The sequence below is a fragment of the Homo sapiens genome, chromosome 3 (genome assembly GCF_000001405.40).
Source record: "Homo sapiens chromosome 3, GRCh38.p14 Primary Assembly".
Taxonomy (NCBI): domain Eukaryota; kingdom Metazoa; phylum Chordata; class Mammalia; order Primates; family Hominidae; genus Homo; species Homo sapiens.
Window position 1 is genome coordinate 38,236,338 of NC_000003.12, and position 27,178 is coordinate 38,263,515.

General features: G+C 38.0%; 1 protein-coding gene across 9 annotated transcripts in view; it reads left to right on the top strand.

Moving 5' to 3' along the window:
- The window catches only part of OXSR1 (oxidative stress responsive kinase 1), a 91,422-nt gene extending 72,275 nt beyond the window's left edge, over positions 1 to 19,147 (top strand). For 4 of the 9 annotated variants that reach the window (XM_011534331.3, NM_005109.3, XM_047449387.1 and 1 more), the window contains 8 exons: positions 502 to 624; positions 6,406 to 6,441; positions 9,738 to 9,884; positions 11,331 to 11,395; positions 13,629 to 13,681; positions 15,066 to 15,134; positions 15,991 to 16,055; positions 16,480 to 19,147. In XM_011534331.3, coding sequence (XP_011532633.1) covers positions 502 to 624; positions 6,406 to 6,441; positions 9,738 to 9,884; positions 11,331 to 11,395; positions 13,629 to 13,681; positions 15,066 to 15,134; positions 15,991 to 16,055; positions 16,480 to 16,554 — 633 coding nt within the window. In that variant the 3' untranslated portion in view covers positions 16,555 to 19,147. Of the gene's footprint in view, positions 1 to 501; positions 625 to 6,209; positions 6,384 to 6,405; positions 6,442 to 9,737; positions 9,885 to 11,330; positions 11,396 to 13,628; positions 13,682 to 15,065; positions 15,135 to 15,990; positions 16,056 to 16,479 lie in introns of those variants that run through there. The other 5 variants (XM_017007601.2, XM_047449386.1, XM_047449388.1 and 2 more) reach the window with 3 other exon arrangements.
- The last annotated feature ends 8,031 nt before the right edge of the window (positions 19,148 to 27,178 follow it).

A 27,178-nucleotide genomic window follows, 5' to 3' on the forward strand; every position in this document is an offset into this window, starting at 1 on the left:
TTAGCTAAAATGAGTTGAAAGTGGTTGCCAGTGGAGATGAAGCTGAAGGTTAGGAGGTTGCTGTTTTTCTTAACAAAACATGCACAGCTCTAGTGCTCTTGAAATCATATGCAAGTATAATTTTGACTTAACAAAAAGAAAAAATAACAGATTTTAAATCTTGGGTTTATTCATTTTGAGCACCCAAAACCTCTTTTTTTTTTTTCCTTAAATGTCTCAGGACATTTAAAATCAGATTTTACCTGTGATTTTACATAAAAAGGATTTTGATGTTTGGGCTCAGAGTATAGAAGTACAGCGGTTGTTACTAAAGACAGGTAGTAGAGATTGTCAACAGAGAGCAGGTGATGGTTGGAGGATATGAATTTGTATGGGAACATTTATGGGGAAAATGATTATCTACTTAATGGATTGAAGTGATAGAAGAAGAGAGAAATATGGAGTTTTCTACTTAGTAAGCATGAAATACCACCATAACCCACTTCTCTTTCTAATGAGCAGGTTCGGAGAGTACCAGGTTCCAGTGGGCGTCTTCATAAGACAGAGGATGGAGGCTGGGAGTGGAGTGATGATGAATTTGATGAAGAAAGTGAGGAAGGGAAAGCAGCAATTTCACAACTCAGGGTAAATTTTATTAAACTGTGTACTTTAGCTAGAACTTTTTGTAGTTCTTGTTCAGCTTAACCAGCTAAAATATAAAGAATACAATTGTAACAGGATTTTCTTGAACAGCTTATTAATAATAGGAGCCCAGTTAATTCTGCATGGAAAGTTGGACTTAGATATCTGTTTGAATATGATAATATTTAGAGTATATAAAAATGACCCAAATCTACCAAATCTAGAGACGAAAGCTGCAAATGTCTGAGATGCAAAATACACTGGATAGGATTAATGGCCAATTAGACATTGCAGAAGAAAAGTTAGTGAACTTGAAGGCCCAGCAATGGAAGCTTTTCCCCTGAAGTCTGTTATCCTTCTACTAAGGAGGAATGGTGTATCTCTTATTCAGTTGGTATATCCTAGATATCTGTCGTGCACACGTGTGTGTGTTTCCTAAAAACAGTGAAGACAAGAGTCTTCCTTTTGGTTCATTTCATCACTCTTGCCTAAAAGCACTGCCTCAAGTTGTCAGGACTCATTCATTCCTAAGACTGGAAGTGTTTATAAGGAAATATAAATGTTTGAGGGTATTATACCTTTGACTGCTTAGGACTGTTTTTGTGGGATGAATAGTGAGTATACTGGTATATTGCTTCCTGCTTTTAGGATCTGCTTTGGTGAAAGCACTTAAGACTCTCTTGATAAACACTGAATATTTGTTGACCTTGTTTATCTAATGAGGTATTTGAGTCTAGTCCTTCTGCAGAGCTAAGTTTGTAAAGTCCTTGCCAATGGAAGTTGGCAAAAATCGATTAAGCTCTAAGCTTGGAAACACTGTTTAGAAGGTAAATGCAAATATTCGTTTACATACAATTGTGAGTTTAAGGTTTCTTTATAAATGTGAGACTATGGCATCCTTTCTTCCTTACTTTTTCATGTGACTCCTGTTTGAATTGATACTCTCATGTATTGTTATATTAAAGCTACCAGAGGAAGCTAAAGCTGCATGAATTTTATAGTTCTACCTTCCTGTGAAAGGGATGATGATGCTATTTTTCTTCTGACTAACAAATATTTGGAGAGATACATTATAGCTTTTCAGTATCTAATTATTACTCTCTAGCTATCTATAGATAAATTTGGTAGTTCTGAAATAGTTATAGTAGCTTTCTTATAACCTAATACATTGGTATCTAAACAACACAGAAACTTATATACTTTGGCCACAGAATAAGTAGTTTTCTGTCCAGTATTTTTCATGTTATCTTTATAGCATTTTTGAGACCATGAATTCTTTTTAAGAACATGAGTCTTTTAAAACTAAATTGAACTATGTTAAGAAAATAATATACCATGACCAAACGGGTAGGGTGCAATGATGGTTCAGTATTAGGAAATCTCATAATATTGATAGATCTAAGGAGAAAAATCTTATTTTTATTTTCATAGATTCTGAAAAAGGCTTTGACAAAATTCCGCCCATATTCATAATGCTCTTATGTAGATCCAGATTTCCATCTTTATATTATTTTCCTTATGCCTGAAAAACTTTCCTTAATATTTTTTGTGTTGTAAGTCTTTTGGTGATGATTTTATGTCTGAAAATGTCTTTGTTTTGAGAATGTGTGTTTGTAGGGTATAGAATTCCAGGTTGACAGGCTTTTTTCTTTCAGCATTTTAAAGATGTTTCTTCACCATCTTCTTGCTTGCATCTTTCCACTGAGAAATTTTGTGACATTCTTATTCTTGTTCCTTTATAAGTAACATGTCTTTTTTCCCTGGCTGCTTTTAAGATTTCCTCTTTACAAATGGTTTTGGAAAATTTGATTGTGATATGCCTAGGTATATTTTTCTTCATGTTTCTTGTGCTTGGGGTTTGTTGAGCTTCTTGGATCTGTGGGTTTATAGGTTTTTATCAAGTTTGGAAATTTTTCAGCCATTATATTTTCAAACATTTTTTTTCTGTCCCCCAGTAACATATATATTAGGCAGCTCGAAGTTGTCTCACAGCCCACTGTTTCTCTTAATTTTTTTAAAATTCTTTTTTTCTGTCTATTTTGTGTAGTTTTTATGGTAGCTTTCAAGTTTATTTATCTTCTGCAATATCTAATCTTCTGCTAATCCCATCCAGTTCCTGTTTCATCTCAGGCATTGTAGTAGTCTAGAAGTTTAATTTTTTTCCCATCTTCTATGTCTCTACTTAACTTTTTGGAGATATGTAATACAGCTATGATAACTATTTTAACATCCTTCTCTTCTAATTCTAACATCCATGTCAATTCTGAATTGGTTTTGTTTTGTTAGTTATTCTCTTCATTATGGCTTGAGGAGTATTTTCCTGCCTCTCCACATCTAGTAATCTGATTAGATGCCAAACATTGTAATTTTCACCTTATTGCTTGCTGACAATTTTGTATTTCTGTAAGTCTTCTTGAGCTTTGTTCGGGGATACATTAAAGTTAGTTGGAAATAGTTTAATGCTTTTAGATCTTGCTTTTATGATTTGTTAGTTGGGTCTGTAGTAGTGTTCAGCCTACAGCCATTTATTCCCCATTACTGAGACAAGACCTTTTTGAGAACACTACCCAATCACCTGTGAGTTATTAGTTTTTCCAGTCGGGCTGGTGGAAATAGGCACTGTTCCTGGCCCTGTGTGAGTGCTATGCACTCTTACCTCTCATCGTTTTTGATGTTTTCCCCCCTATTCTCAGGCATTTCCTCACATGCACTCGTTGATAAGTATTCTGTCAAACATTCAAAAGTGACCGTCTGCAGCTATCTAGGGTTCACTCTCTTTGTAGCTTTCTCCTTCCTTGTACTGTTTTATCAGCTTAATCTGCCTTGGTCTCCCGGTCTCTTAGCTCTGTTTCCTCAACTCAGGCAGTTCCTTGGATTTCATCTAGGTTCCACCTCCCTGTGCCACAGCTTGGAAGCTTTCAAGGCAGTATGTAGGGACAAGGCCCACCACTTTTTTTCCCTGTCTTCCAGGAATCACTGTTTTTCTTTGCCCAGTGCCCAATGTCTTGAAAATTTTTGCTTCATATATTTTGTCTTTTTTTGCAGAGGTGGGGTTGTTTCAGGCAGAAAGATAAATCTGGTCCCTGTTTATTCATCATGGCCTGAAGTGGAAGTCTACAATTATATTTTAAGTGAATGTGTAACTGTACTGAAGGGGAATATAAAAAGAAAGAATCCAAGTAACCTATGAATATAGTATTTGACTATGTGTTCTCAGGTGGAGTTGATGGGGGAAAGAAAACTTAAGACAAACCTTGAGCTCCTTTTATTAGGATTATTTTTCATAGTTGTATATGCAAAACAGTTCAGAAACTCTTGTAGGATTGAGGAAATGAGTAAATGTCTCAATGTTCTTGGGAGCCAAGATTCTCACTATAGAAGAAGATATACGCAGGTACGGAACAGGGCAAAGTGAGAAAGAATCCTGTGGCAATGGGTTTGAATTGGAGGCATTGGTGTGAATTCAAGCTTTGTAAAGTATGTGTGTGAATGTGTGTGTGCGTGTATGTATATACGTGTGTCTGTACTTGCATATATTTCTCAGCTTTGTCCACTGAATGGCCTGAAAGCAAAGAAACCCCAATAATGACATGCCTTGTATCCAGATAATGGTCTCTAATACCATTCCCCACTAAAGGGAAGCAGAGCTCCTTTGAGAAATGGTTGATTCCAGGGCTTGGGCAGGGAAAATATAAGGGGAATCTTGAATATTATGTTCCTTTGCCAGAAGGAAAAGATACTTAAAAAAAAAAAAAACAACTCATAAGGACACAAGCGCCAGCTCGAAGTTACTCCTACTGGCAAAATCTGGGACAATTTAACCACCAAAATAAAGTGCAATAATTAATTTTAAACAATTTAGAAAATAGCTATCTATGAGTCTATACCAATAACAAATACATATATAAACAAATGGGGGAAAAGGAATGGTTCTTCATTGCGGTAGGCTACCAAGTGCTGACCAGTAAATATGGACGAGTGTTGGAGATGGAAAATCATCATTTTACAATCATCGTCGCAAGGATAGGATTAGGCAGGAATCATCAATGAAGCTAAATATAGGGGGAAGTTTTGATAAGCAGGATATTTTCAAGGTCTTAAAGTGTGCCCCCACATATTACCTATTCACCACAAGGGAAAAAAATAAGGTTTTTTTATACTGGAGAAGTAGGAAAATTCCTTGACTAGGTGATTAAAATTAACATCACCAATGAGGGGCAGATGAACATGGGATACAGTAAGAAGGACACGTCAGTATGTAGAATTCCAAGTGGGAATTCATGTAAATATAATAATAAGGAAACATTAGATAAACCCCATGTATGTGGTGGGAGTGGAGGGACTGTATTCTCCAAAAATGTTGATGTTCCAGATTTTAAAAATCTAAGAAACGTGAAAACTACCTGCAATACATGATCCTAGACTGCATTTTATACTGGAGGAAAAACAAAAGGCTACAAAGGACATTAGTGTTGACATTTACGCTATAAATTAGATAAAAGTATTATATCATGTTAAATTTAATGAGAACTATAGTGTGAAGTTATATAAGAAAATATCTCATTCTTAGGAAATGTACACTCTGATTATTAAGTGGTAAACAGCCATGATATATGCAACTTATTCTCAAATGGTGTAGGAAAAATATATTTAGAAAGAGAAAGTGAGCACCCAAATGATAAAGCAGATGAGGGGAAAAAAGGTTAATAATAAATGAATTGGGGTAAAGAGTATACTTACGTTCTTGTATTGTTATTCTAGCACCTTTTCTGTAAGTTTGAAATTATTTACAAAAGTTTTTTTTTCTTGTAGTCTGGATGAATTCATTATTTACAAAGTTGTTTGTTTTTTTTTTTAAAAAAAAGGTTTTGGGTTGGTCACTTACTTGGTATGCTACATTAGCTATTACCTGAACTTTGATTACTCCTTAATGAAATGGTGATAAAAGTGTTAAAAAAAAAAAACCATCAATTGATCTTTGACATATTCTGACTAAGTCCATCATTGTCAGAATTTACCATAAATTGTTATTCGTTTAGAGGTAAGTTTTTTGGTAAACTACAGTGCCTGTATCCAGAATTACTGCTAACTTTTATTATTTACCAAATAAACAGCTTAAATTTTCATATGGCAGATTGTAATTGGTCATTTCCTAATAAATGTGGTTTACACCAGATATTTGAGACCTCACCTCAAGTATCAGTTTATTTCCACTACCTTTATTTTTGCTAGTGGTCCATGCTTTATTTTTGGACCACCCGTGTTTCTTTAGATACCAGATTCCCAAATATCCAACACCAAGAATAAGGGTAGTAGACTCTTTACATGCAGCTTTCAGATCATTTTTGGCTCAAGAGTTTTCTCCATTAAAGCTTGTAAACAGAATTACTCTGCTTTGAGAATGTGTTGGATAATTAGCTTAAAAGTTTAGGTTTGGTCTGGGATCTTATATACATAATATGTTCACGATTAGTAGAAAGAATTTTACTTTGGAGAATGTGACAGTCCCATTATGTATGCTTATAAAGCTCACAATTTTAAAATACGGAATTTTAAAATTGATAAGTACATTGATGTATTTGTTACAGGCTACCTGGACAAAAAATACAATACTATCATGACAGTTATTTTTTCCAGAAAACTTTCAGTAGACTTGCTGGTGAGTTAATATATGGATCAGAATTAAATGGAGTTGATTTGCATTTAACATCACTTGCAGTTTGGGACTGACTACAAGTAACCTGAGTTGTGAGTTAACAATCATCCTTTTTGTATTTCGTTTAGTCTCCCCGAGTGAAAGAATCAATATCAAATTCTGAGGTAAGTAATTGTGATTATTGAATCCTTGTTAAAGTAAATGTGCTTTTGTTTTGGTTTCAATTCGAAGTGCTTTTGTTTGTGCATATGTATGCTTAAATGGGAATGCAACTTTATACCAATCGAATTTTAAAAGTTGGCGTAAGGGCTCAGAATGTTCTTCCTTGCCTCTTTGATTTTGTGAATTTTTTATTTTTATTTTTGGCTTGGGCTGCTGGAAGTGAAAAGTTATTTATTTATTTATTTATTTATTTATTTATTTATTTATTTATTTTGAGACAGGGTCTTACTCTGTCACCCATGCTGGAGTGCAGTGGTGTGATCACGGCTCACTGCAGCCTTGACCTCCTGGGGCTCAAGTGATCCTTCCACCTCAGCCTCCTGGGTAGGTGGAACCACAGGCACACACCACCATGCCTAATTTTTGTATTTTTTTTAGAGATAGGGTCTCACCATGTTGCCCTGGCTGGTCTCAAGCTCCTGGGCTCAGGCAGTCTCCCTGCCTTGGCCTCCCAAAGTGCTGTAATTACAGGCATGTGCCAATGTGCCCTGCTGAAAAGTAGTGTTTTTGCATTAATTTGTTTGCGAATTTGTCAAATGCCACCTGTCCTTTTTGAATTCTTTCTTTCAGCCTCAGCCTCTTCTCTTGTGAAATAAATTCTATTTTCCGTGGTTACTGTGTCAGTATGATAGGAAATCTTGTTAAACAGATTCTTATTGGGCTGGTTTTCCCTATTCTCATTACCGGAGAAAGACAATCATTTCTGTGGTCTGTTCTGTCATACAGTCTTATTTCCGGCAGCATCTTCATTCTGAGCTCAGTATTTGGTTTTAACACATCTCTTACTCTTAAACCAATTCTATTCTTGCCTCTTTGCTAAAAAGTAACCTTTGTTTTTTCATTTATTTTGTATATAAAGTACATTTGTGTATGTGATTATGTACATTTGTTTACATAGAACTGTATTAAGAGTAAAAACAAATACTGTTCCTTCACATATTAACAGGCCGATATCTGTTAACTTGTATTAGAACTGTTGTTCACTTATATGTGTGGCTCCTCTTCTTGGTAGGGGAATTGCGTTTTCCTGCCCCTTGAAATTACATATGCCATGTCAGTTACTCTGGCCAGTGGCATGTTAGCAGAAGTGAGAACCACTCATGATTCCCCTTGTCTCCTTATTCCTGCTACCATGACCTGCATTCCTGAGTGAGGATGATACCGAGCTTGTTAGCCCCCGCTGGCGAGAGATAGACTTGAAGTGTGTCCAATAAACAACTGTTGTTTTAATCCACTGACACTTCAGGATTATTTGTTACTTCTAATTTAACCTATGTTGACTGATACTTGATTTCTCAGAAATTGAATGAGAGGCTATTTTACAGATTATCTAGTTTTTATTTTTAGTCTTCTCCTTGTTCCTTTGCCTAAATATCATCTCCACATGAACTCTTGCATACTCATATTCTCATGCTCATTACTTTGTTTTTAAATTTGCGATAAAATTCACATAATGTAAAATTTACCATCCTAATCATTTTCAAGTATATAGTCCAGTGGTATTAAGTATATTCACACTGTAGTACAACCATCACTACCATCCATCTTCAGAACTATTTTATCTTCCCATACTAAAACTCTGGCTATTAAACAGTAACTGCATTCTCCCCAGTCGCTGGCAACCACCATTCTATTTTCTGTCTATGAATTTGCCTACTCTAGGTACCTCATATAAGTGGAATTATACAGTATTTGTCATTTTGTGACCGGCCTATTTCACTTAGCATAATGTTCTCAGGTTCGTCAGTGTTGTAGCATATGTCAGAATGTCCTTACTTTTTAAGGGTCAGTAATATTCCTCTGTGTGTGTGTGTGTGTGTGTGTGTGTGTGCGTGCGCATGTACCACATTTTATTCATCTGTCAGTGGACACTTGGTTTGCTTCTACCTTTTAGCTGTGGTCAATTATGCCATTGTCAACATAGGTGTACAAGTATCTCTTTGAGACCCTGCTTTCAATTCTTTGGGGTGTATACCTAGAAGTGGAATTGCTGGGTGTATGGTACTTCTATTTGTAATTTTTTGAGGGACCATCATACTGTTTTCCATAGAGGCTGCACCATTTTACGTGCTCATCAACGAGGGTTCCAATTTCTGTGCATCCTCTCATTACTTTTAAAAATATATCCTTTCCATCTTTACTATAGATAAATGTAAGTACATACAATTTGGAAGCTAATAGTCTTTTGAAATAGTATTAATAATTAACATTTTCAAAAGTAGTCTTAAAGGCCTACTTTTTTGTAAAAATCTAGAACCAATGAGTAATTTATGACTTCTTATGTATGAAGTTAAATGAACACAAAATTTTATTCCTTGTCTCCTTGATTTTGCTTATGTAATATCACCTATTCAGCCTGTACTATTACTCTTTGAATTTTTTCTCTTTCAACTTTACATTTTGGCTATTGCATCGTTTTTTCTCCCCCAGTAACTGCATAATTTTGAATATGTTTAACTTGTTTTTATACTCAGTATCAGTCATTTCCCCCAAACTACATAATTAAAATTTATGAACTATTTCAGACATACAAAATAACATATATAAAATATCTTTTTTTAGTTTTAAAGCATCACATTCACTTTTAAAATGCATTTCAGATATGTTAAGGAATTATTGGTTGATTGTCTTTGTAAGAAATACAAAGTCCTCATGCATGGAAAAATATAGCTTCTGTAATTTTGTATTACATACTTAAATCTGTATTTTGGAGGTGCTGTTTTGCTGGGCAAAGGAATGGAATAGATTTTGTTAAAGATAAATATAATGCAAACTGAAGACAGACACAAAAGACTATATATTATATGATTCCATTTATATGAAATATCCAGAAAAGCAAATTTATAGAAATTAGGATCAGTTGTTGCCTATGGCTGGGTGTGGAAGCAGGAACTAACTATAGGCATGAGAGGACTTTTTGGGGGTGATGGAAGTGTTCTAAAACGATTGTGGTGATGGTTGCACAATTCTATATATGGTACAAAAATCGCCAAATTGTACAGTTACAGTGGGTAAATGTAGAGAAATATAAATTATACCTCACAGAGTTGTTAAAAGTTTAAAAGCCTAGAAATATTTGACTTCCGTTTGGAATAGATATATTCGGAGTAGACACAAAACCTGTACACTACCCAAAAACTACTTTGAAAATATCACCCTGAAAGGCTGAACTTGCTGTCAGCAGACCTGCCTCCCTTTCCACACAACTTAAGCAACACTGTGTGTGTTTTTGTTACAGCTCTTTCCAACAACTGATCCTGTGGGTACTTTGCTCCAAGTTCCAGAACAGATCTCTGCTCATCTACCTCAGCCAGCTGGGCAGATTGCTACACAGCCAACTCAAGTCTCTCTCCCACCCACCGCAGAGCCAGCAAAAACAGCTCAGGTAAAGCCGGGGATATGGTTTCATGGTCACTCCTTTGGATAGATGAAAAGAGCAGATATTAACGTGGAATATAACCTAATGTAATCAGGTTAATGTCTTGGTAGATTTTGAAACAAGTTAGAAATTCTGTCTTCACATTTTTAAGCATGTACAGGTAAGAGAATTTTACAAGGATCACATGCAGGTTTTTAAGCAACAGAATAAGTTAATGATGGAAATATTTCAAACATCAAAAATTTTGGGCTAATTTCTTGTCAGCTTTGTATTAGATAATTACATTTAACTTCAGAATGCAGCTCATGAAGTTCAACAGAGACTAGGAGAATCGATGGCTGTACTGTTTTTGTTGTTGTTGTTCACTCAGGCTTATACTTTTTATTAATACTCTTTGTTTTCTGTGGTTTTTCTCTATTACTCTTTTTAAGTTATTTGTCAATTTTGTGAGGGTTGGTTTGTTAAGTCCGGGTATTATAATCTGTAAATCATTTATCCAGGTGCACACAAACTTTATTAAATCATACTTCATTGAGAGCAGCCAAGTGAATGAAGGCCCCGTAGTGGGCTGCTACATGCTGTGTAACTCCTTCTCTCCCTTCAATAAACCTCAGACACTGCATACAACATGTGGCCCTATGGTACATGGTTAAAGTAAGACTTTCAACGTCCATTTATTAAATATTAGAAGTTCCATTTTCTTGTCTAACGTTTTAGATGAAAAGAAATATAAATTAAAGGTCTGATTTTTTTTTTTTTCTTTTGCACCCCAGTAGATCATCTCGTGTTCTGCCTTTGGAGATCACTGCTTTGAGCATTTCCAATTAGTCATGGCACTTACTTCATTTAACTTTGCATCCCTCAAGCTTTCCATTTCTGCTTGGCATATGGGAAAAGATACAGTTGTCTTAGGAAAATTGATGGAAAAATTAGATTCATTTTATAAACAACTTAAATCGAATGCATGTCCTCCCATAAGCAAGCGCTGTACAATTTTCAGAGAGGATTAGTTTAGCCATAAAAAGACTGGAACCTATGTATGGGTTGGATGGATTTCTGAAGGGCAGCTGGTTCAGGGTCTACCTTTTGTACTGCCATATGGTGCACTGGCAGATTTTTTAAAAATGAGAAACCTAGCTTTGTGTTTTTCAGTCTTGTAGAGGGGAACAGGGGTCTCAGAAATATAAAATGTAAATGTGGCTATATGTGAAATTTCATCTGGGCTTGAGAGTTTTCTTTCTCATTGTGTTGGACTTAAACTGACATTCAGCTTTTGTTGCTGCCTTGGAGTGCATGTCCTCCTCCAGCAGGGAATGTCCTGGGGATTAGTATGACCTCAGCTGGAGATGAAGAAAATTGCTGCCAAGTAAATGATTCCTCTGCCAGTGACCATTAGTCACCTCCCCACTTAATGTTTCAGGCAATGACTGTATACCTTTCAATGCTTTTTAGGCTTTGTCTTCAGGATCAGGTTCACAAGAAACCAAGATCCCAATCAGTCTAGTACTAAGATTAAGGTAAGTAGACATTTTTTGTTTTGTTTTCTTTTGTTTTCTGAATATTCTGCATGTGCTGTAATAGTCTGTGCCTGAGAGTAACTGGATAGGATTGTATGTCCTCCAGCATCAAGCTCTGTTTGCTTGGTGGTGTATTATTTTTCCCCAGAAATAATAGCAACAGTGTGAGGACCTGCATGTTAGCAGGTGTTGTGACTAACTGATGCACATGTTCTCTCAGTTGTTTCTGTGCTAATTGGTGATGAGTTTGTGTATTTACAGTGTAGCTAGTTTGGGTTAGGAGGTGTAGCCTGTAATTGAGGAACAGTTTTTAGGGGAGCAGCACTAACTGGCTTATCTGAAGATCAGTCTTATAATTGTGACGAGGTAAACTCTGAGATCAACTAACCCAAGAGGGGAGCACTTTTTGATTGTGGTAGATCAAATAAAGGCCTTGTTTTTAGAAGGTTAAAAGGAAACTTCTAAATGTTTTTGTAGTCTGTTTCTGTTTTGCAGCAAGTACCCTAAATTGGTGGTTCTTGGTGGGAACATATAGAGAGGTCCTGACAGATTGCTCAGCAGGAAGTGCCATAGGTAGCAGTCTGTTCATTTTAACTCCCTGCCCCGCCCCCCCCGCCCCTAGCACTAGTAGCTGGATTCAAATTCCAGAGCTTTCTTGTCAGAATCACTATGGCTGTTGTATTGCTCTAGTTAGGTCTCTTTCTACTCATAAATGCATTTGAAAAAAAATTAGTATTAAAGTATCACTTGAGGCAACTCAGGCCTTTTAAAACTATTACTAACATTTTAAAAAAGAGTTCCACTGAATTACCATTAACTCATTCCCCTTGCACATATAAATTCCTAGTCATCTTTCTGTAAGGTCCTAATTGGAGATAGAGGCAGCAAGAGCTATTTAAGAGAATGTGGTAAGGAGAATCTCATTGCTCCTTGCCACTAGGAGCAATGCATTTATGCCATAAATGTGAAAAACATATTTGGTTACCTTTCCTTTACAGAAGCCTACTTAGTATACCTGGTCTCATCTCAAAAATTCTGAGTTACTAGGATGTCTTGACAACTTCATGCTGTTTTAAATCTACATAAAGAATAACACTTTAAGAAAATTATTGTGAAATGTATTAAGCACAGACTATGTATAGCACTCTTCGGTACTGTGGAAAGGTGGATACTGAGAAAAGAGAAAATTAAATGACTCCCTTAATAATCAAGTCTAGGTTGGAAGTTGATTTGAACTATGTACTTACACAGCTAAAAGCAAATTTCAGGTAGTATATACATGCAGAAGTATAAGTTTGTATGTACCTGTGTAGAAAGAACGCAATGCAAGGGAAAATCATTTGGGGCATGTTATATTTGAGATGGGTAGTTCTATTTTAAGCACAATTTCAGTAACATCCTCAAGTATATTATTCATCAAATAGAAGTAAACCCTCTCCATTATTTATATAAAATAGATTTGAGTCCTAAGTGAGCAGGCATATCTGCCCTTAGATATAGTGTTCTCATTTCTCTGTCTTTAAACAAAACCTCCAGGGATCCTGCTTAATCTCAGTGCATGGTGTGATCATCACTGTAACTGTACCTCACCAGTCAGGTTTGAATTTCTGGAGTCATATAGTAACTCTGCTACCAGTATGGACCCAATTCCTTTCCCTATCCTCTCTGCCTACCTAAATCCTGCATATCTGTTAAGTCCTATATAAAAACTACCTCTAAAATTTTTCCTTATTATCCCCATCTCTCATATATTCTTTGAATTCCTATGGAATTTGAGGGAGTATCATGTATTTCATTTTATGAGTCTGCCAAGACTGATCACCAGAGGTAGGCAATGAATTGTGGGCATGTAGGAGTGGGGATAAGGATGAAAAAGGCATCCTGTATCATTTTAATCACACCTCCCTGTGCTCATACAATTTTCCTCTTAGTTTTATATGTTCTTGGTGTGGGAATAAGGATGGGAGTGGGCATATAAGAATCTACTCAAAGGCATGAAATTTTTATATTGATCAGTAAGGGACATAGATTCAAAGGGTTGTAGGACAATTAGATGGTCATTCCGAATTGGTTTTGCTCTGAGCTCTGCAGTGTGAACATATCTGAATACATCATATGATCTATGGGAACAAAACAGACTTTCTTGAGGCACAGCTTTCTTAATATATGTTGGCAGAATCTCTTTGCATAAATTTAGAAATTCTTATTTTATGCATTCTGCTTTCTTTCATAGGAATTCCAAAAAAGAACTAAATGATATTCGATTTGAATTTACTCCTGGGAGAGGTGAGGCATCAAATGGATTGAAAACAAAATAGCTTCCAATTTGTGATTCAATGAAATGTGTTGTGAAGTTTCTGTCCTTTGTGAAGTTTTGCTTTTAAAGGATAATAAAAATTTTCCTGGTTTTGGCGAGTATATGAGTGAGATAAAAATGCAGTTCGTTGACTACTAAACACATTTAGAAAACCTTGTATAATAATACAAACAGTAATAAATATATGATAGCTCTTTACAGCTTACTATAGGCCAGGCATTGTCTTAAGCGTTATCTTATTAAATTCTCACAGCAGTCTACTAAGGAAAAATTATTATCCCCATAGTATCGATGATGAAATCAAGACTTAAAGGCAAAGTAACTTGTTCAAGGTCACACAGCTGGAAAGAGGTATAGCTGGAATTCAAACCAGATCTGTCAGAATCCAAAGTTCATTCTTTATACATGGTTGTTCTCCATGATGGTAAAGAAACAAGGTCTGCAGTCTCCTCTCTCCTCAGACAGAAGCTGAGGTCTGTCATGTACTGTTTCTGGCTGTTGAACTTCACCTTGAACAAGGTGTGTTTTGTTTCTTGCCTTTATTACTCAGTGTTCTAATTTGGGGAGTAGCCAGCAAGTATCTGTTCTGTGTATCATGCTTATTCTTCTTGCTGTCTCACTATCATGAGCAACTAACCACTAAAGAGAAAAGATGCAGGTGTACAGAGGTGTCACCTGTTTTACTTTTTAAACACCAGGCAACATCACATTTTCAGGAATTAATTCAAATTGCTGGTTGCCTGTGTGAATGTGTGGACACTGTCTCCACCGCAGTCCTCCTGTTCCCTCTGAGGGGCTCATTTTCAAGCCCTTGGCAACCAATACCACTGAGTTGGTTGAAGATGAGGTTAATTGGGGATATTCTGTCCTCATCTTTTTAGTTTCTGGTTATACCCATTGCTCAGATTGTACCACCTGGAATAACTAGATAAGAAGAAAAGCCCACCAGAATAAAAAAGTAAATGATTTTAGCAAAAAACTTGGAGTATGATTCCCAAAGAGAAGAGACAAAAATTTTTTGAGACAAAAATTGTTGCCTTAGTTTTTGAGAATAAATCATTCTGGTTTTTTAGCCCTAGAGATGTTCAGTATTCAACATCATGTCTCAGATATTTGCTACCTGGTTTATACAGATTCTGCCCTCTAGCTAGATCTGTGAGAATTCCACTTGAGATAATCTCAGTGGTAGGAAAAGTCTTTGTATGGAAGGAAGGCCCTGCCTGCCTTCTTGGTTCTGTGGATTTAGCATCCAGCTTGGGCCTAGCATGGCACACTGACACCCACATGAGCTGTGAGAGTTAACAGTGGCAAGCACGCACAAAAAACAGAGCACTGTCTTCTTTGTCCTTGCAGATACAGCAGAGGGTGTCTCTCAGGAACTCATTTCTGCTGGCCTGGTCGACGGAAGGGATTTAGTAATAGGTAACTCCATTGCGTTCTGCTCATGTGCTCCTGTGTCTCTGTCTGTATACTTAGTACATAGAAAAGCAGGTTTTTTATTCCACTGAGTAGGTCTGATGGTTCTTGAAATGGTTCTTGGCTTTCCTGAAATTATAGGTAATGGGACAGTTCCTTACACACACACAAAATTTCACCTCTGAGTTTGCTTTGTGACCTCCAATGATGGTAAGTGAAAGCACACCCAAGGTCTTTAGGAGATTAATAGAAATTATGGCAAAAGTCACAAGTTAAAGTAAGCTTGGCCATATCTGATCTGTTTTGGATACCTAATTTTTGTGGCCCAAGTTGAGCAAAAGTCATTAGAGATTTAGTACTAGAAAAGCAGGAAGGAAGAGAGAAGGCCCAGTGAGGCCACAGGTCCATGTTACTGAAGGAAAAGACCATGTCCTTAGACACAGTTTTCCGTGAAAAACCAGATAATAAATAGTTTAGGCCTTGCGGGCCATGTACAGTGTCTGTCACTTTTAAACCACTCTTAGCTTGCCGGAGAACAAAAACAGACCACAGGCTGGTTTGTTGACTTCTGGCCTTGGGCTTTCTGATCCATAAATCAGGAAATCATACCTCTTTTACCTGCATGTTTTTCCTAGGTTAATACAACATTTTAAAGAAAGTTAATTTGACAGTGGTTCAAGGTGTACTACTCAGAAATGAGTTTAAAAGACACTTTCATTAGGGGAGTGATTATTTGATCTGTCTGCTTCCATTTTGATTGTACGGAGCATATTCTTAACTACCATTTAAGCTTTTAAAATATGGTTGAAAGTGGATTTATGTAACTTCTCATTCATTACCTTCTCTGTTTGTATGATTACAGTGGCAGCTAATTTGCAGAAAATTGTGGAAGAACCTCAGTCAAATCGATCTGTCACTTTCAAACTGGTACTCATCCCTTCTTCCTTGTGAAAACATCTTGCCTTTTATACACTGGCAGCTTCTCCAGACCAGCTTCTATATCCCCTGAGTGATGAGAATATTAAAATGTGGTGGATTGTGTTCATTTAGCCTCCCCAGTGCCCTGGGCTGATGTTTCCCTTTGAGTGGCCACTCTTCCTCTGTCCATGCCAGGAAACCTCTGACCCCAGAGACCCTTGGCTATTCATAAGAGAAACTATTAGCCAGTCTGACTCTAGCTGTTTACCCAGCCCCCCTCTTTTCTGGAATAAACACCTTCGTCAGTCTCCTATTTGTATCCTAGGGACCTGTTGCCCACTGCCTACCTTCCCACTATCCCATGTCTGTTTTATTTGCTACCTGCAAGTTTGTTTATAAATAATCACAGTTTCTCATTTTGTTTGGTTCTTAGGCATCTGGTGTCGAAGGCTCAGATATTCCTGATGATGGTAAACTGATAGGATTTGCCCAGCTCAGCATCAGCTAAACCACAACCCTGGAAGAGGCGGCCTAAGGAGATTCCACACATGCGTATCTCTGTTGCTTCTATTGGCCTAAACCCACTACTGCCAAAGAACCCAGCAACAAACCTCCCGGCTAGGAGCTTTAGAAGTCTTTATGTTCTTCCTGCCATCATTCCTCCTTTTCCCACAGGGAAAGAAAAGTTGGATCACTAGTGGCCAGCATCCCCAGAGTTCCGTTAGTAAACTTACTTCATATGTCCCCTGTCTTCCTCCATCTGAGAAGTGGCCCATGTGCTTCAAGGCCCAGGAGGGAGATCTGTCAGCTCATTCTTGCCTTACTCCAATGATGGCCCAGGTGGAAAAGTAGCAGCTGTATCGGGCTTCCTCATCCTGCCTGTTCCCCCACACCTGCCAGGATATGGACATCTTGGGATATCTCTTTACCACTGAAGTAGAATTGATTGTTCAGCTGGAGCCCAGAGAATTTAATTTAATGTTTTTTCTTTGTACCTGATGTGAATTCTAGCAACCTTTGTTAGGAAAAAGCACAGCCTCAGATGGAGGCAGCCTAAACTGTGTTCTTGTTTTGTTCATGGTGTTTCTAAGCGTTTTGCTGAAGCTGCTCTCAGGCACCCCCTTCTTCATTGCTCTCTCCAGAAAGGGTTGCTAGCCTTAACTTCAGCTGGTGCAAAACATCTGACTGTAGCCGAACTTCAGCCATCAGATCCTTCAAAGTGGAACTTTGGATTGTTTTTACAGACAACATCGAGTAATGGCTTGTAAATGTGAATTTTGCCAGAGGTGGTTTTTGAACAGGAAAATCATAATTCATATCATTGGAGAAGTATTTATTTTCAAATATCAAATTGAAGAAAAACTCAATCCTCCCATGAAAATCAGTTCGCCTGGCCTCCAAGTCGTGAGGAAATGGGTATGCAAGGCTGAGATTTCTACAGCAATAAAGGAGACACACACTGGGCCAGAGAGGCCTGCCTTCTGCCTGCTCTCCTGCACTGACCCTTTGGAGGGGGTCTCTGTGTGCTGAAGCTAACTCAAGATGGAAAGTGAAACCACATGTGCCGTGACCTTTAGGTTTTATGAGTAGACAGTGTTCATTTGATTTTCTACAGAAATAATATAAATTATTCTTTAGGTTTAAAAAAGAGCACTCATAATGCAATATGTGAATAATCAGTGAGGTTGATTTTTCTTTTTTCCTACCGTTTCATAGTCTTTGTCTAACTGCTAGTAACCCTACCGAGTTTTATATATGAGTGGGATACTCAATCTGGCCTTAAAAAGATACACAAAGATGGGCTGTGGGTCCCTGGAAAGGGGGAGAGTTGCCCTTTACAGAATCACTCGAGCCCTTTCCAGCACTGTTGGTCTGATGAACAAGGTTGTTTTACCTTATTTTCTCTTGGAACATATCTGAAAACCTTCCCCACAAATAACTTGTCACACCTTTTGTTTCATTCTGAGTCTTTAGTTTTAGTCATGGGCTTTCTTCACCTGCTCTAGGTGCAAAGGCATGTTGGGAAAGAGATGGATGTTGGGGAGGAAGAGAGGAGATGGATTTCAGTTGGGAGTTAGGAGGAGAGTAGGTGAGATGATCAGACACCGGAGTTCAACGTCCCAGCAGTCTTGGTAAAAGGAGGGAGCCTGCTGAGCCAGGAGGGAGAAAAGAAGATTGACCAGCTTGCTAGAAAAATACTTAGCTTTTCTTTTTCTTTTTTTGTGGAGGGGGGACGGAGAGGAACAAGGATGGGGAGGTAGGAATGAGGTATAGAAAAGAGATAGCATCTTCTTTGGCACAAGACTAGTGGCTTACCGCTTACCTTAGAGTTTTGTTTTTTTTTTTTCAAACCCATCAAAATCTACTTATTTATGAATCCAAGGGGTGGCAGCATCACTCTGTTCTAGCATTCTTTGTGGAGATGGTCTGGTGCCTAGCTGGGAGTGAGCAGCAGCCCATCCCCTGTTCACTTTCTCTAGCCCATCATTACCTGTGAACTGCAGTGGGGCAGTCATGGCAAATAGAATTGGGCTGGGGTTTCTCCTTCTTTTCAGTTCATTGTTTGCCCTGCTAGGAATTAGAAGACAGACACCATGTCCCAGGACAGTGTTACTTCTTCTGCATGATGTGTGGTAGACTCCCTTTGCTGGCTTGTGCAGTGATACTGAGAAAATACATGAACAGAAACTGCCCAGGTGGAACAGCACGTAACCTAGTGAGTGACTGTACTCCTTTCTAGGAATGCTGATTCAGAGTGCACCTCTTTGACTAGGTCCCAGGATCCCCTTGTCCCTGGAGTAGGGACTAACTATAGCACAAAGTAATATGTGCCAATGCTATTTGTGAAATGTTTGGTCTTTCTAAACGACTAAAGGATTTGTTGGGTTTTTGCTTAAGTTTTGAACCAAATCCTAGAGCCAGCTGATAATATTTAATAATCTGGAGGAGAGAATAATGATGTACCAATAAGTGGAGATTCCTCCTTATGATGTATGCTAGGTTATGGAAGATGTAAAATATTCAACTTTTTCCTCCTTTTTTTGGACTTTGTATTTTACTGCATGTTTTCTTCATTTTTAATCAATAAAGAGTAAATTGTCCTTAGTGGTGTATGGACGCTTTATTTTAGTGGCCGTTGGCGGAGAGCTGTGGGTTGTGGGTCAAGGAATCACCACCAACTTTAATTGTTCATGCGAATAGAAGCCAAAGTACATATAAACTGTAAAGTGTGTCTGTTGATCTACAAATTATCTAGAACCATTAAAGCCATTATATAGTTGGGGAAACTGCAACCCTAAAAGGGAGGGATGAGATCAGCCCAAGGAATTGGATAGGATGGGATATGGAACTCCTTTTATTATCTTTTGATCTTTTTTAAATCTTTGGTTTTGCTTATGCTGTTGGGCAAGGAAGGATGCCAGATTCAAGCCCTTGGGAGTCTCTTTCGAAAGTTCAGAACAGGGCTGAACTTATCTCTTCTTGGCTTTGATATTGCAATGGTGAAGTTACATGTAAGATTCTAGGCTCCTTTGTATTCCTGTTATCCTCCCACTGCAGGAGGAATCTTCCCTCATCATCTGCCCTTCCCAACAGCAGTGGCTTTTGATCCATGATAACACTGCTTGTGGGTCCTGGTATTTCAGAGCTCAGGGCTGTGGAGCCTTGGAGTTGACAATACTGTTTGGCCTACAGCTAGTTGAGTTTGCTTTCAAGATAAGCAAGTTATAAAAGTGGAATCAAACTATTGTGGGGATAGGAAGGAGGTGCTTGTTACTCATAAGTGACCATGGTATATCTGGAGGGAAGGGAAGGGGTCAAGGGCAAATTGAGCTTCCACTTGCCCATTCTTTCTGACAAGATCAGGTTGTATCACTAGGCTTGGTTCCTTAGCTTTATTTGTTTGGCAGCAATACTCAGTGCATCCATTCAGGGATTCCCCCTTTGGGTCAGGTCATCTACCCCAAGGTTTTTTTTTTTTTCTTTAATGGACTTTAATTTTTAGAGCAGTTTTAGTTTCACAATAAAATTGAGTAGAAATTACAGAGTTCCCACACACCTCCTAACTCCACCCACAAACAGCCTCCACTACTGTCAACATCCCCCACTAGAGTAGTACATTTGATACAATTGAGTGTACATTGACACACTATTATCACCCAAAGTCCATAGTTTACATTAGGGTTCACTCTTGGTGTTGTATGTTCTATGGGTTTTGACAAATATATAGTGACATATATCCACCATTACAGTATCATACAGAATAGTTTCACTGCTTTAAACTTCTGTGCTACCTGTTCCTCCCTCCCACCCCCACTAGTCTGTGAGAACCACTGATCTTTTTACTGTCTTTTGCCTTTTCCAAAGTGTCATATAGTTAGAATCAAACAGTATGTAGCCTTTTCAGATTTTCCTCTTTTACTTAGTAATATGCGTTTCAGTTTCCTCAATGATTTTTCATAGCTTGATAGCACATTTCTTTTCAACATAGAATAATACTCCATTGTCTGTACCTCAGTTTATTCATTTACCCACTGAAGGACACCTTGATTGTTTCCAAATTTTGGCAATTATGAATAAAGCTGCAGTAAACATCTGAGGGCAGATATTTGTGTAGACAGTTGAAAACAGCAACAGCTTATTTGGATAAACTCCAAGGAGCATGATTACTGGATCATGGGTAAGGCTATGTTTTGTAAGAAACTACCAAAACTTGTGGCTGTACCATTTTGTATTCCCACCAGCAGTGGATGAGAGTTCCTGTTACTCCACATCTTTAACAGCATTTGGTGGTGTTATTGGTATTTTGGATTTGGCCATTCTAATAGGTGTGTAGTGATACCTCTTTTTAATTTGCAACTTCCTAATGACATTTGCATCTTTTCATATCCTTATTTGCTATCTGCATATCTTCTTTGGTGAGGTGTGTGCTCAGGTCCTTTGCCCTCTCCACTTCCCCCCTAATTTTAACTTTTTATTTTGAAATAATCTCAGACTTACAAAAAAAATTACAAAAACAATACAAAGAATTCCCCTATACCCATCTCCCAACTTCCCCAAATGTTAACATCTTACATAACTACTTACAATTATCAAAATCAGGAAATTAACATTGATATATTATTGACTAGTCTACAGACGTTATGCAAAAGTTGTCAATTGCCCCACTACTACTCTTTTTCTGGTCCGACGATTCAATTCAGGATCTCACATTGTATTTAATTGTTATAATTCCTTAGACTTTTTCAGTCTGGGATAGCTCCTTGTGTGTCTTTGTTCTCATGGCCTTCACACTTTTGAAAAATGACGGGTAGTTGTTTTGCAGAATGACTCAATTTGGATTTATCTGATGTCTCATGATTAAATTCAGGCTATGCATTTAGAGAAAGAAAACCACTGAATTGATGTCAGGCTCTTTGCAATTCATCATCAGGAAGCACACCATGTAAACATCTCATTAGTGGTTATGTTAACTAATCACTTGGTTAAGGTGTGTCTGCTAGATTTCTCTACTGTAAAGTTACATTTTTCCTCTTATAATTAATTAATGTTTTGTGAGGAGGTAGTTTGAGATTATATAAATCTTGTTACTCATCATACTTTGCTTAAAAATGTTAGCATTCTTTGATGATTCTTACCTAACAATTATAACTGTGATATTTGCTAAATAATTTTTTTCTTTTTTGTTTTAAATTAACTGTCCCAGATTCTGACTAAATGAAGATTTTCTGTTTCCATCATTTCTTCTACATTTATTAATTGGAATTCTACTGTGAGGAGGAGCTTTCCCTTTTCCCTCACTATGTGTGAGTTCAATTATTTACTTATGTAAGCATGACTTGCCAACAGAATATATTATACTTGTTAATTTTTGATGAACTGTTGGGGAGAAATGATATCCTGGTGTTGGTTTCTTTAATTATATGTGAGGATGGAAGGTTAAAGGGGCATTTATAGTTAATGGACTTTTGCTTATTTTAAAATCAGGTTATTTTTCTTATTGAGTTTTAACAGTTCTTTGTATAGTTTTGTTAACAGTCTTTTATCAGATATGCCTTTTGCAAATATTTTCTCCCAGTCTGTGGCTTATCTTCTTGTTCTCTTAACAGTGTCTTTCACAGAGCAGATGCATTTAATTGTAATAAAGTCCAGCTTACCAATTTTTCTTTCATGGAGCACATCTTTGGTGTTGTAACTAAAAAGTCATTACTATGCCCGAGGTCATCAAGGTTTTCTCCTGTTATCTTCTAAGGATTTTATAGTTTTGCATTTTCTGTTTGGGTCTGTGATTCATTTTGAGTTAATTTTTGTGAAGGGTGTAAGATTGTTTGTAGAGTCAGTTTTTTTGCATGTGGATGTCCACTGTAATAGTGGACTCATCTGTTTCTCCTTCTACTTCTATCAGTTTTTGCCTGACATGTTTTGATGCTCTGTTTTTAGGTACATACACATTGAGGATTGTTACATCTTCTTGGAAAATTGACTCCATTAAGTAATGTCCCTCTTTATCCCTGGTAACTTTACTTGGTCTGAGCTACTCCTACTATCTTTTGATTAGTGTTGCATGGTATATTTTTCTCCATTTCTTTACTTTTAATCTATATGTGTCTATGTTTCTTGTTGAAAACATATAGTTTTGGGTCTTGGGTTTTTTGATCCACACTGACTACCTCTGCCTTTTTGTTGATGTTTTTAATACCGATGGCATGTAAAGTGATCAACTATTGATACAGTTGGACTAACACTTATTATAGTTTTCTATTTGTTGCCCTTGTTCCTCAAACTTATTTTTGTCTTCTACTCTTTTTCTGCCTTTTGTAGTTTTAATCGAGAATTTTATATGATTTTATTTTCTCCCTTTTCTTAGCATACTAATTATACTTCTTTTTTATCTTTGTTTAGTAGTTGACTAGAGTTTGCAATGTATATTTCTAACTAATTTAAGTCTCTTTTCAAATAACACTATACTGTTTCACAGGTAGTACCAATACAAAATAATCCTGTTTCCTCCCTCTCATCGTTTATGTTATTGCTGTCATTCATTTCAGTTACACATAAGCATATATATATATATATATATATATATATATATATATATATATATACAAGCAAAGATAATCTAATTTGCTGCTATTTTGAAGAAAATGTTATCTTTTAGGTCAATTATGTTTAAGTAAAATAAACATTTTTTTTTACCTTCACTTATTTCTTCTCTAATACTCTTCATTTCTTTATGTACTTCTGAGTTTCTGACCTATGTAATTTTCCTACTCACTGAAGATCTTCTTTTAACATTTCTTGCAAAGCAGGTCTACTTGTAACAAATTACCCCAGTTTTTGTTTCCCTGAGAAAGTCTCTATTTCTCTACCGCTTTGGGGGGATAATTACACAGGATACAGGATTCTAAGTTGGTGGGGCTTTTTTCTCTGAGCACTTTAAATATTTCACTCCACTTTCTTCTTGCTTATGTGGTTTCTGAGGAGAAGCTGATGTAATTCTTTTTTTTTTTTTTTTGAGGCAGAGTCTCACTCTGTTGCCAGGCTGGAGTGCAGTGGCACGATCTCGGCTCACTGCAACCTCTGCCTCCCAGGTTCAAGCAATTCTGCCTCAGCCTCCCGAGTAGCTGGGACTACAGGCACGTGCCACCATGCCCGGCTAATTTTTTGTATGTTTAGTAGAGACAGGGTTTTACCATGTTAGTCAGAATGGTCTCGATCTCCTGATCTCGTGATCTGCCTGCCTCAGCCTCCCAAAGATGTAATTCTTATCTTTACTCCTCTACAGTAAGATGTGTTTTTTCCTTCTGGCTTTTTCAGGATTTTTCTTTATCTTTTATTTTCTGTAGTTTGAAAATGAGATGCCTACGTGTAGTTTTTTTAGCATTTATTCTACTTGGTGTTCTCTAAGCTTCCTGGGTCTGTGGTTTGGTGACCAACATTAATTTGGGGAAATCCTCAATCATTATTATTTCAAATATTTCATTTGTTCCTTTTTCTTTCTTCTCCTAGAATTCCCATTGCACATGTTATACCTTTCGTAGTTTTTCTGTAGTTCTTGGTTATTCTCTGTTTTTCGCCTTTCAGTCTTTTTTCTTCTTGCTTTTCAGTTTTGGCTGTTTTTATGTGATATCCTCAAGCTCAGAGATTCTTTCCTCAGGCATGTCCAGTCTACCAGTAGGCCCATCAAAGGCATTCTTCATTTCTGTTGCAGTGTTTTTGATCCCTAGCATTTCTATTCGGTTCTTAGAAGGTTAATCTCTCGCTTACACTGCCCATCTGTTCTTGTATGCTGTCTACTTTCCATTAGAGCCTTTAGCATCTGTGGGATGTGTGTGTGTGTGTGTGTGTGTGTATGTTTTGTCCATGGTTCCTGGCTCATAACTCCCATAAACCCTAGTTACAGTAAACAGAATCTCTCTTTCTTACCTTCTCCAGCCTCCTTTCCTCTGCCCAAGGCAGGACTCTAATCTGATTGTGGGTCATAAAAGGTCCTCATTCCAGAGGGGGACCTGCCCTATATACTGGAAGAAGGAATGCTACACAGAATGGTCAGAAAGAATCTGGACAGGCCTTGCTGGGTTTAGATCATACCCTTTTTGTACAATCACGTTTTGACATGGTTGTCCATGCTTCTATTCATATCATGCCTATCGAATGAAGTCTCCACAAAAAAGCCCAAGAGGACAGGACTGGGGGCTTCTAGGGAGCTGAACACATGGAGGGTAACAAGGAAGGTGAACAAGAATTCATCCATGTGCTGGAAGCTAGGTGCAGTAGCACACACTTGTAATCCCAGCGACCTCAGGAAGCAGAGGTGGGAGGATCACTGGAGCCCAGGAATCTGAAGCTGCAATGAACTATGATTGTGTACTGCACTCCAGCCTGGGCAATACAGCAAGACCCTGTCTTAAAAAAAAGTCTACATGCTGGGAGGGTGGTGCACCCCAATTCCACAAGGACAGAAGTTCCTGTGCTTGGGACTCTTTCAGACCTCACCCTATGTATCTCTTCATCTAGTTGTTTATTTCTATCCTTTTAAATATTGTTTATAATAAATTGGTAAACATAAGCATTTCCTTGAGTTCTGTGAGCTGCTCTAGCAAATTAACCTAAAGAGGTGTCAGGGGAACCCCAACTTAAGGCGGGTCTGTCAGAAGTTCCAGAGGCCCAGACTTGCGACTGGTGTCTGAAAGTGGGAACGCCAGTCTTGGAGACCTAGCCTTCAACTTGTGGGGTCTGGTGCTATCTCCAAGTACATAGTGTTGGAATTGAATTGGAAGAAACCCAGCTGGTGTTGGCTACAGAATTGATTGGTTGCCAGCTGGTGGGGAGAAATTCCCACATATTTGGGGGTCACAGAAGTCTTTGTTTTTAATTATCATGTTGGTGTGAGAGCAGAGGAAAAATTGAGTTTTTCCTAAGAGCATTTTAATCATAGTTGCTTTAAATTCCCAGTCTGGTAATTCCAACATGAATAACTCTTCTTAGATCTGTCAAAGACGTGAAGTCACAGGGCAAAACACTGCTCCAAAAACACTGCTAGATTTAAGTCTGGTTCTGATCTCTGCTGTGTCTCTTCAAACTGTGTTTTTGCCTTTTAGTATGCCTTGTAATCTTTTGTTGAAAGCTGGACATGATGTGTACTGGGTAAAGGGAATTCCAAGTAAATAGGTCTTTAATGATGTGGTAAAGTATGGGGAGAGGGAAAGCAGTCTATGGTCCTGCAATTAGGTCTCGGTCTTTTAGTGAGCCTGTGTCTCTGCATTGTGAACGTTACAAGTGCTTCTCAGTCTCCTACCCTCTATTAAGTGGGACAGGATGGCTAGAGCAGGCTTGAGTTGGGTCTTTCTCTTCCCCCAGGTAGGATAGGGTCTGATATAGGGCAAGCCTTGTTAAGAACAGAATACTCTGGGCTGGGCACAGTGGCTCATGCCTGTAATCCTAGCACTTTGGGCAGCCGGGGTGGGTGGATCACAAGGTCAGGACAAGACCAGCCTGGCCAACATAGTGAAACCCCATCTCTACTAAAAATACAAAAAATTAGCCGGGCATGGTGGCGGGCACCTGTAATCCCAGCTACTCGAGAGGCTGAGGCAGGAGAATTGCTTGAATCCGGTGGGGGCGGAGGTTGCAGTGAGCCGAGATTGTGCCATTGCACTCCAGTCCGGGAGACAGTGCGAGACTCCATCTCAAAAAAAAAAAAAACAGAACACTCTGGCTTATTTCAAATGGTTACTTGCCTCTCCCTGCTGGAAGCATAAGAGAATTTTTCTTTGATATTCACTGTGTGAACCCAGTAGAGCTCTTGGAAGTAAAAGCCACAGAAATATGGAGGCCTTTCTCTGGAGTTCTTAACTCTCAGAGTAATCTACATTGAGTCTCCAGCAATTTGTCAGTTAAAGTTCAGGTTTTCTTATCCTGGTACTGGTTCCTGCAGAGGTTTCTTGTGGATTTCTGGTCCAGTAAATTGTAATTCTCTCTCTCCTTTTTTTTTCTTTTTTTTTTTTTGAGACAAAGTCTCGGTCTGTTGCCCAGGCTGGAGTGCAGTGGTGTGATCTTGGCTCACAGCAACCTCTGCCTCCCAGGTTCAAGCAATTCTTGAACCTCAGCCTCCTGAATAGCTGGGATTACAGGTATGTGTCACCACGCCCAGCTAATTTTTGTATTTTTAGTAGAGGCAGGGTTTCACCATGTTGGCCAGCCTGGTCTCGAGCTCCTGACCTCAAGTGATCTTACCCACTCGGCCTCACAAAGTCCTGGGATTACAAGCATGAGCCACTGCACCTGACCTAAATTGTAATTCTCTGTATTCACCTGTGTGTCTCTAACTTTTGGGGCAGTCTTTTATTACCCTGTGACTTCACTCCTCTGACAGATCTAAGAAGTTACTCATTTTTCAGTTTGTTCAACAATTTTACTTGTTAAAAAGGAGTAGCAACTTCCAAGCTCCTTATGTGCCAGACCAGAAACCAGAAGTCTTACCACAAGTTTTTATTTAATAGAATCATTAAATTGCAAAATTGAAAGAGATTTGAGATGCCATCTAGTCCATCCCTGCAGGGGATCTTTGAGGAATACTTCCCTCTCCCTCCACCCCACACACGGACACCTCCCTACGCTCCCTGGACATGGTT